The sequence below is a fragment of the Homo sapiens genome, chromosome 18 (assembly GCF_000001405.40).
Source record: "Homo sapiens chromosome 18, GRCh38.p14 Primary Assembly".
NCBI classification, from domain to species: Eukaryota; Metazoa; Chordata; class Mammalia; order Primates; family Hominidae; genus Homo; species Homo sapiens.
The window spans coordinates 74793843-74804793 of record NC_000018.10 but is presented as its reverse complement, the minus strand read 5'-3'; the positions used below and the strand labels follow the sequence as shown (position 1 = coordinate 74804793).

Genomic DNA, 10951 nt, shown 5'->3' with positions numbered 1-10951 from the left:
CATTTTCAATTGTGAAAAGAAATTTTTTCCTAAGTAATATAGGAAACAACTCGGCTAACCTTCCGGAGAATATCAGATAATCATGGTAGGTTGTGGTACAAAAGCTAACTTCTCAGAAATGTGAGCACATATGAAATACAAATAATCAGACGTTTTAGAGACTGGCTATAGTAATCAGCATTTTAATTACTTTCTGTTTTCTTAGATGTATAGTACCATTGTGATGAATATCCTCTCCACATACAAACAAAGCAATGTATTTAGCCTGGTATTTTTGCATCTGAGTGTGAAATTTTCCCAAAAGGGTACAAATAACCAAGATCCATGTGCTGATTAACGAAAGACTTCTCTGAAGTCATGTGTTAATTAGAATAATTAATATGTTCCTTACTGAATATGCCAGGCATTTGTCACATGGCATGCTTACAAAAACTTTGATTGGACAGTCAGCTTTAAATAAACCCTGAATCATTAAGGGTTTTTTTTTTTTTAACTCATTGATGATGACAATTTTATAAAACTGAGTACTCAATTTTTAAAATAACAGTTCCTTCCAGAAAATCACTAGACTAGCCTACATTTGTGTGATGATTTACATCACACAAATGAATTCAAGTATGCAAAGAAGTACACAGATAAAAGGAAAAAAAAAAAGACAATGAAATATGTCTAACTTCAACCAAAATAAGTCCTCAGCCAATCCTCCCACTGCAGGTCCCATCAGTTATGAAAAGTGCTCACAAAGACTTTGGGCTTCAGAGGCACTCGACGCGTTCCTGTTGTTCTGTATTCCTGGCAACGTCCCGATCTTTCGATATGCAACCTTTACTCTGAAGCCAAGGACAATCAAGTTTGTTAAATTGCTTCATGTTTTCAAGGCACGTTGTAAAGCATTCTCGTGAACATTTTTCGCTCCGTCATTCCTGACCTTTTTGAAACCATGCTCCAGAAAGTATTAATATTGATAAAAACCACATTATCTCTGTCATTCACAGCTGACACACAGACCCAAGGTAACACAACACAGCTTCCCTGGTTTGTAAAACATATAAATGTGACCAAACTAGAAATACTAAACTTTCTCTTTCATGCGCAATCAGAATAAGCTTGTATGTTTTCTGGTAAGACTGACCCATTCTTTAAAATCTGCCTTTTCGAATTCTTTAATAAAATTTAGTAAGATATCAGAGAAATAACATAATGCATTGCAGAAAATCAACTTAAAATTGCTAAAATATAGGAAGAAAATATTCCTCTCCTAAAAATAAACACTATGCATTCTCAACAATGCAAAATGAATTTTGTCACTTTCAGTACTTTATAGAGAAAAATCCCACAGACACATTCTAGATGCCCATTGATAACCAGGTCCTTCTTCTCAGAAAACAGGAAGTTTCCAGGGTCTCCCTATCGATGACAGGACCAGCACCAGCACTAGCACTGCAATGAACCAGAGGGCTGGACCAACGGGGTATCCCCATTAGGGACGAAGTGCCAGGAAGAACAAACCCACAACCACCACAGTGCTGATGTCAGCCCCAAATCCATCTCCCCAAGAGCACGGGAGCAAACAGGTCTTCCCCTCACTCCAGTTAGCTCAGGATTGAGTGAAGCACTGAAATACAAGGCTGTTACAGGGCTTTCTTTTGACTCTGACAGGTAACAAAACTGGCTAAGGGGGTGGTAACGCTGGACTTAGCTCTCATTAGCTACCACCCTGGAACAGTCAGAATGAGTCTCAATATAATTATTTAAAAAAAGAAAGGTAACATTATAACCACTCCAAATTTATAACTTTTGAATTCTATATGGCCTGAGATACCCTGAAATTCCTACACACTGGCAAAGTTAAAAAAAAAGAAAAAAACAACAACAAAAAAACACATTCCTACTATTGGTTGGTTGATTGCTGGCTTAATGTCAGAACAGACTACCATATTTATCATTAATCTTAACTTGACAATGTATTGCAAACTTAATTATTACAGTTTCCCTGGAACATCAAAAGCTCTATAAAACATGCATATGCATTAAAACTAAGCGACATAAAAATATGCAATTTAAATATATTTAGTGTTACTGTTTTCTTCCACTGGATATCCACTATTTGTCAAACACTTAGAATATTTCACAAAATTTTCCGTCAAACAATTGTTAACAAAAAGGAAGAGTAAGAGAAAAATTTTCGAACTGACCTGAAGCAAAGCAAATTAGAAATTTCTCTGAAATCTTACAATTATTCTGCTACATAAAATTTGGATTTTAATATAATATTTTCCCTCTCCTTCCAATACATACAACAAAACAACTACCACACATTGTCGGTTGTGAGCATTCAGTGGAAGACTATTCATCTGCAACAAAATAAAAATGCCTTTTCCACAACAGTTCAAAGTGTAGAATTTACACTAGGAAAATAATAACTTGAAAAAATGTATATGTAACATTGTTAACAGAGTAAAAATGTACTATGCCTATTAACTAGTAACATCATGATTCACATAAACAATAGGTTAAAAGGCCACTAAAATTATGTAAACTCACATTTACAAATTGACATGGAATAATGCCCATAACATATAGACTAAATGCAAGTTGAAAAACATTCTGTAAATATATTTGTACGTAGTATAACTATATGTACATTTATATATACATGAGAATTGAGAGATGTTCATTGAGGGACATTACAGAAAGCTAACAGTGACTTTCAGTGAAAAGATTTGAGATTCTATTTATTTTATCCTTCATATTCACGTATGTTGGTTCTATTTTGTTTAAGCAAAGGAAAATTTTTTTTTTTAAGAATTCTGACAAAAATGAAAAGGAAAAGAAAATGGTTATTTTTTAAGGAAGAGCACTTTCTTCTAGCAAGGTCATGTGCTAACAGAACATTTTGAAGGAACTATGTACTTGGACGATTTCTGGAATGTTTATTGTTCATACAGAGTAATTCACACTCTCCTTTTGTCATGTTCACAGTGAGTAGCATCAATTTAAGCGGTAACTGAAAGAGGTTATAGGTGTCCACTGACACTACAAAACGCTCTTCCATGTGAAGTTCATAAACTAGCCCTGGCTTCTATATACCATACAGCTATCACTGGCAGCAAATGCACACCAACCAAGAGACCTCGACATGCATCTGCGGGTGTGAAATTCTGATCAAAACAATAAACTGCATTTGAACTACAGGTGGGATAAGTAGATACCTATAGGTATAACCTAATTAACTGTCTTTCATTTTCAGGATATAATTGAATATACCTGTAAGAGAAAATAAAAAATTAAAACTTAAATATCCAACAAATGATTTGAGGGAACATTCTATTTCAATCAGTTTCACTGATACCATTACATTGCCATTTTCATGGCCCACGTTTGTGATACTCGAAGTATATATAAAATATAAACAGTAAGTCTAGATTTCCATGAAAACACACTGATAATGAAAGAAAAATATAAATGAAGCCTTATGAAATTAATCTCATATATACTGATTTATAAAATTAATCTCATATACCTTGACAAAGGAATGTGACAAACTGAATGTTTTACATTTTTCAGGTACACAATCATTAATCATACTCAAGAGAAAAACAATTTAAAAATTAGTTGATAATTGATGATCAAGACAAAAATTCATAAGCACTAATGATCATTATATTACTATTTCCAAGTATTCCAAAAAGAAATTATAGAATATCACTAAGAGTATGGACTGCTTATTTTCTAACGGGGAAAGAAAACCTAACAAAGTGCCTAAATGTCTAGGATTGCTTTAAATTTATGGAAGAGACTCTTTGAAACATTTTATAGAGTTTAAAAAAAAACGGTATAATGAATCTGTCTGTTAACAAGCTATGTTTGAGTTACAAATAATGGTCATAATTATTTCCATCCTGAAACAATAACCTGACAAATGACATAAAAGTTATCAGTGATAGGGCAAATCACTGACAAATGAAGTCAAGTTATCAGAGACATTCAATGTAAAAATCGTATTAATTTCAGAAACATTTCCTGAGACACTGGGCTTCCATTCTACCTAGGAAGCAAACTAATCAAAAACTTTCAGTATATAAAACAAACTGAGTTTATATATGCTTCCAATGAGAAATGACTAAGATTGGCTTTAGGCTTCTCCCATCACGAGAAAAACAATTATCTTCGTATAATTCTTTTTGAACTGTTCATTTTTCTAAAAATAATTTAAATAATTAGGAAGGCCATAGATGGCAAGGAGAATATGAATTTTAAGAGGCAAGAGGTTAAACGTTCATTTCCGTTAAGCAAATCTACAAGAAAGCAAGCAAAAAAGACTGAAGATCTCAACAACTGGAAAAAATGTGGAAGAGGGAACAATGTGACTAAACTTTTGTTTATTGGAAAAAATCTGAAAATAAAAATAATATGAGAATAAAAAAGACAACAGCTGAATTAAAACAATAAAAGAGTACAATCTAATCAGCAAACTCAAAAGCAGGGGAATGCACAAAATTAGCATAAGAATAACAAAACTACAATAGAAGCATTAAGACCAAGAATTACAAAAAGCAGACCAAATTCAGAACTCACTCATGAAATTTAAGTAAGTCTATCTTTTCATTAAATGTGATTTGTGCTCAGGTTATATCCTTAGGAATATTTTTATTCCATGACTTTAAAAATGGAAAGACTCACTGTGTGTGTATACAAAGAATTGTCTTTGGACTCTCCTCAAAGATGAAAAATATTCTATTGTTATTCAAGTTATTGAAAGCCAGGACTCATCAGTGAAATGAATGATCAAGATGGACCATGTATTTTTGGAAAAAATGTAAGGTAACCAAAAAGCAATGGCATTGGTAGACTTTGGCTAATAAAATGGTTAAAAAAAAAAAAAAAAAAGGATTTTTTTTTCAACAACGGCAATACTGCTGCAATAGAACCTAAGAATGACAAATACATCTAAAACATGTTTGAATATGTAAACTTTGATTGAATATTCATCCTATTGCTACTTGTAGGATACAGGTGCATACGCATTCTCCAAAGCAGGACAGTATGCATATGTGTGCAAATCATTACAGTTTGCAGAGAAACACTGAATGCTAATCCAAACAATATAAATGCACAAAAGCACTACCACTGTCTCTACCTATTGCAAATGAAAAGAGATACTGACTTGTTATATGATATTTTTGCTGTCAATGTCCAACTTACTCCTTTTAATGTTTTCAGGTTATGCAATTCTTGGGACAACAGGTAATATCTAACATAAATCAATGTTACATGATTTCAGTTACTTTCATTCAAGTTTAAATATTAAAACCTGAAGTGCTAGAAATCAGGAATGAAACAAAAATTTTAAAATTTATCTTGAATGAATGAAATCTGAATGAATGTCAAGGGCAGGAATTCTCTCAAGGGATCCTGTACTGCAAGATTAATTCACATTAATGGAAGGTTTTCCTATGCCCACAGTGCTGAGACTGTTTCTGTCCTATGGGAAACAGTTCATGGAAAATACTGAATTTACATATTTCACTGTTATGTTCAGTTATTTTCCTCAGAAACAGCATCAAACCTCCGTGCTAAATTTAAAATGAATTACAATTTTGCTGAAGGTTTAATTGCTAAGTAATTTCTTTGAACAGTTTAAACAATTTACAATATTAGTCAACCTAAAAATTTGTGGGCAATCATATGGGAAAACTCATAAAACCACAGCTAAATTCTAGTAATCAAAGTTTTATAGACTGAAATAGCCTTTAACTAACAAATTATCATTATGATTTGATGTTAACTACATCACCATAGTTTAATTCATTTAAAAATATAAGACAAAAGGTAGTAAACCATTAGATCAAGTAAGAGATTAAAAATTATTTTAATTTCAAAGCATCAACACTATTATAAATCTAAACATAAAATCCAAAGATTCTGTCAGTCTTCTGGGAGTTCAAAGAGAAAACAATTTCTTTTGCAAAAATAAAATTAAGTTTGAAAGCAAGAAAAAAATCCTTGATCATCTTTCCCTAGTTACAAAATGAGCCCATAGGCCTAAAATAATAAAGACTGTTTTTCCTCCAACAAAGATAATATCCTTACTACTCAACCTATCACTAAAGTTTGTCATAAATTAATAAATCCCTAAAACAAAACTGAAAGAAAAACTGAGTTCTGCATCAGTAAAAGACTCCACAGTTACACTGAAAAGGTTGATTTAAAGCAGCGTTTGTTAAGAGTTTTATAATTTTAAGATTCACCATCATATATATCCCTCTGTAATTCAACCTCTTGCCACACCACTGAAATGAAAATAATCCCTCATCATTGCATAAATACACTGTGAAAAGACTAACTGGTAAAAAAATAGAATTGGTTATGTTCTTCCTACTTAAATTATATTAAATATATTCTTCCTTGCCTTCCTTTTTTTCACTGTTTCTCAATTTTAATAAACCAACTCTGAATCATGCAGTCTGCTTTACAATGTTTTCCTCATAAAGAAAAAAAATTAAAAAAATCAACAATTTTGTGTCATTAGAAAAGGTAAAGCTTCAGAGACTCTGTGTGTGTGTGTGTGTGTGTGTGTGTGTTTGTGTAAAGGAAGAAAGAAAGAATACCTGTAAAACCTTTCATTTTTACTGTTCCATGCAATGTCTCTGGCCAGAAATTTATGTACTGGTTTGTATTTTATGATTCAGACATGAAAAATAAGAACACAGATTGCTGTAATGAAACTTAAAGGTTAAAAAAATTTAAATGCGTTTGCGCCTTTCCCCAGCATTAGTGAGTCATGCTTTCCCTTCCCCATGTACACTATTCCAGAACTCTCACCTTGATCCCTCCTGCTGGTCTTTACGGATGCGCTAAAATGGATTACTAGTGCATCATTATTTCACTTAATTGTTTTCCCATTAATATGATAGTTGTAACCTTAATTAATGAAATATGGCTAACTTTTCCCTTAAAATGTAAAAAAAAAAAAAAAATGCCTTGCAGCTAATTAACTCATAAGCACTTCACACACTAAAGGCACCAATAGCAGCCTGGGCTTTTCAGCTAGCCACTGGCTCATTTTGTGAAACCTGAACCTTTAATAATACGAAAGACCTTTTTAAAAATCCTTAAAATTGCTCAAAATTACTGTCAATTAATATAAGGTCACCCCTCTCAATCTGAAAAGAAAACTTTCCCTTTATGAACGTGTTGATATGACCCAGAGTGCATTCCTGTACTCCCACAATACAATTCTGCAGCAGGCTAGCCTGCACACAATTCTGTACCAGATGTGTCACATTATAAGATTTTCAGATTCAGTTTCATTCTCTCTGTCGACAGCCTGTCATCTGTTGGAGTTTATCATCTACCCACTGGTACCATTCATTGGTTGCCAAAGCGAGGCAGGTCACAGACAAATAGACTTAGATCTATGTTGCCACTAAATTGAAATTTGGCAACAATGTCAGCCAGAGCAAACAGCTGTTATTTTAACGACAAGCAAACCAATTCTGTCCTTTTAAATTATGTTAATATAAAACAGTGTCACTTCACATATCAGAGAGCTTTCAGTTCTGGAGCCCCTTGAAGGCCACGCAGACTGAATCTATTCAGCCTTCATTTCTTTTTGACAAACAGATCCAACGTTCTAAAAATAACAGGTGAGTAAGAGAGGTGGAATTCATGATAAAAAAGCCTCCTGACACTACATGCACTGTAATCTATCTCTTCCCTGCCTACAAGCAGGCATATGTTTGCAATTGCTTCTTCTCGTCCCCAGTTACCATTCCATTCCTTGAGGTCTAGATTTCAAACTGGTGCAGTTATCAATCACCTAGCAGGTCTTGTCAAACTTGCTGAACTGCTGGCAGCCGTACTTTCTTAACATTTGCTGAATTTGTTCCACTTAATAAGCCCTCCCAAATGACCTTACTCTAATTAACAGCAGCTATGTAAGAAATATGATGGTTAATTAATGATGAGATAAATTCCGTCTCAAGGACTGTCAGAAAATGATGACACCATGTTTTACAGTTTAAATAGAATTACGTTCAAACCCAGAGAACAAGCTTCGAGCGTGCATTTTTAATCTGTCACCTACTAGATAAACTGCTGAATTTAAAAACAATTTGGGAGTCAATCAATTTTTTTAACATTTCACAAGCATACACAGCTTGCTTTTCAAAAAAGATGCCAAAAGTGCATTGTATGCTAGAATTTTAGGCTCATTAGGAGAAAAGATGACAATGCTTCAGACTGGAACATTCCCCACCATTTTGCGTCCTTCGACATTACTATACTGAACATACTTACAACCTCGTGTGACACATCTCTGCTATATAGAAAAATGCAGCTTGGGATCTCAATCAAATAGATATTAAAACAAGTGCATTTGCCTGCTTTTTGCACTGATCATGACCTGGGGCTAATCCACAAGCCTATTTCATTGAGTAACAAAACCTAACGCTCTATCAGTCATGCACAAAGAGCTATTTATTTTGTTTAAAGCCATTAATATACTGAAGATATAAAACACAAAAATATATCTAGACTTCTTCAGCCTGGAAAAAAATGTATCAATATTTGGATGACAGTTCTATTATATTCAGTACTGCAGAAACACTTTCTCTAGAACGAATAAAATAACTTCAAGTCACCATGATAAAATTAAGATTTTTTTCTAGAATGAAAATAACACATTAAAAAATATACTAAATACCATCTGCACACAGACTAAGTCTGCCACCTGAGGGAGAAAAGAGCAGCCGATTTGCATGCTCTCAATGCTCATGTTCCAAAATTACTTTCCAGAGACTCGTTCATGTGCTGCAAGGGCACGTGTGCGTGTGTGCGCGTGTGCACAGCGGGAGGCTGGTATGAAATGCCACATGTGGAGGACTCTCACTATATAATGGCTCTATAACACTCCATTGCTTTTGCATGTGACTTTTATTACACTGGTACTGGATGATACCAGGGTCAAAGCATGTACCCGTCATTTACGAAATGTGGGGAATTTACAACAGAAACTTAAATCCAAGTCACTTTCAGCTTTCAAAGAAAGAGTTTAAAGGTCTCTGCTCAACTCTTCCTCTCATACACAATTCAGTACATGGCAAAACATTTGGTGAGAATGCCCAGAACTGAACTGGTGGTTTAGTTCATAATTTACATGCTTGTCTATTTTTCCCACATACAAGTGTGATGTCAAAAATTATCAACATACAAGGGAAACCATGGTAAAACTATCAATTAATGTAGAAGGAACATTACTTTTGTTTAAGTAAGAGTACCTCAATATTGTAACAACAAAATTCATAATTTCAAAATATTTCTAATATGATTTTTTCCAATGCTGTAATGTCAATAGATGAGTAATAGCTTGAATAAAGTTTCTCAAATATATTGATTCATATGTAGTAGAGTTAAAATGAACTTTACTTTTAAAATGTTATAGAATGACAAATAAATGTCCAGATGCTATGATTTGATATATGCCACAAATGGCTAAATTAATTTGGCTTCAGATAAACTATGCTATATATGCAAGTTTATTTTGCCAACGGCCCCAGAGTATAAAATCAGCTCCTACACATTTCTTCATAATAAATGGAAAATATTTCATCTTTGTTTTGGTGGAATATTTTTATACTATTTGTATAATATTCTCTAGAAAAGTCTTGTTTTATACTTTACATATAAACAAATGCTAACAGGAATGATCCCATAATCGAAAGAAAAAAAAGGAAAAGTCTGTAACTTCTGAAAATTTCATCATTAGAAAAGTTTGACAGTAATAAGCTGAAGACTAAAAACAAGCATTTTCTTGTTCATTTAAACAAATATATTCACTTATCTATTTTTTATACATTCTCTTTCATCAAAAAACATCCTAAAAGGGGAGGAAATTTAACTTTCATAAATACATTAAGTTGTACATAATTTGCCACCAATTACTAAAATTCAAAGTGCTGAGAAGTTATTAAGCATCGTATGCAACTCTACCAAAAGATCTCTCATGAGAAAGCATAGCTTTACCAAAGAACTATGAAATCATAGTTCATTTTTACCAAAAAAGGTGAAGTTATGAAGTTATATTATAAAATATGGAGATACAGACCATTTTTTAATTACCAAAAATTTGAAAACCTAGTTCATCTAGGGCAATTCTCTCTGAAACTTTTACATCTGCAAAATGTAAAGATTCTCTTAAAATCCAAAATTGCATGATTCTATATTATTCTGCAATAAGCAACGTAGCGTTAGGACAAATTAAATAAAGTAAGCCAATGATATTTGCAAGGAATATGAACAGAGACCTTTAAAAAGCCCAACAGAATATACCTTCCCTCATAAAAGCTGGTAAAGTAGTATTTCTGAAAAAAAAAAAAATTATGTGACCCTTTTAGAACTTCAGTGATTCTATAAATATAAGATCATTAATAAAACTATGAATTACGCCACTAAAGAGAAAAAGGAATTCCACAGCCTGTCTTGAGTACATCCTTACTGGCTAACATCAACCTAAGGCACCAAAACGAAGACAATGGCAGATGATGGAGTTGGCCGGAAAAATACACACGTGAAGACGCTGACATCATGTATGCGGCAGAGAGGCAAGGCAGGTCAGCCTGATTTCACAGGCTTCTGCCACTGTTCTCACCCGGAGAGAAAACAGCCCTGAAGCAGAGCTCAGTGACAAACCAAACACCAGAGGCTTCGGAGAGAAAGTTCTCTCGACTCAATGTCACACCTGGCAGTTGGCAACTTTCTATCAAAAAGTCTCCATTTCCTAAGACAGTGCTAATCAACATTTCTTTCTCAGACGGCGGGAGCTTGATGAAGCCCTGGTTAACAGGTGAGGGGCAAGTCAGCTGCCTGAAAGCCTGGCGGTAGCTCTCCCTCCTGAGAGACACCCCATTTGAGAAGACTTGCTCTCATCTACAAAGAGTACGTGCTGACT

At 33.7% G+C, this 10951-nt stretch overlaps 1 protein-coding gene across 7 annotated transcripts in view, besides 1 other annotated feature; it reads right to left on the bottom strand.

Moving 5' to 3' along the window:
- ZNF407 (zinc finger protein 407) overlaps positions 1-10951 on the bottom strand; it is a 467802-nt gene that overhangs the window by 260878 nt on the left and 195973 nt on the right. For 2 of the 7 annotated variants that reach the window (XM_011526070.3, NM_001146190.1), the window contains one exon: positions 167-830. The exons of 4 other annotated variants lie outside the window; for them this stretch is intronic. In XM_011526070.3, the coding sequence (XP_011524372.1) occupies positions 725-830 (106 nt within the window). In that variant the 3' untranslated portion in view covers positions 167-724. Of the gene's footprint in view, positions 1-166; positions 831-10951 lie in introns of those variants that run through there. One more of the 7 variants, XM_011526069.4, reaches the window with a different exon arrangement.
- Positions 7208-7567: an enhancer, noted in NCBI's record as "active region_13503". NCBI's record gives its function as "activates an Ori minimal core promoter by ATAC-STARR-seq in GM12878 lymphoblastoid cells {active_cell/tissue: GM12878}" and the evidence as "EXISTENCE:reporter gene assay evidence [ECO:0000049][PMID:35858748]".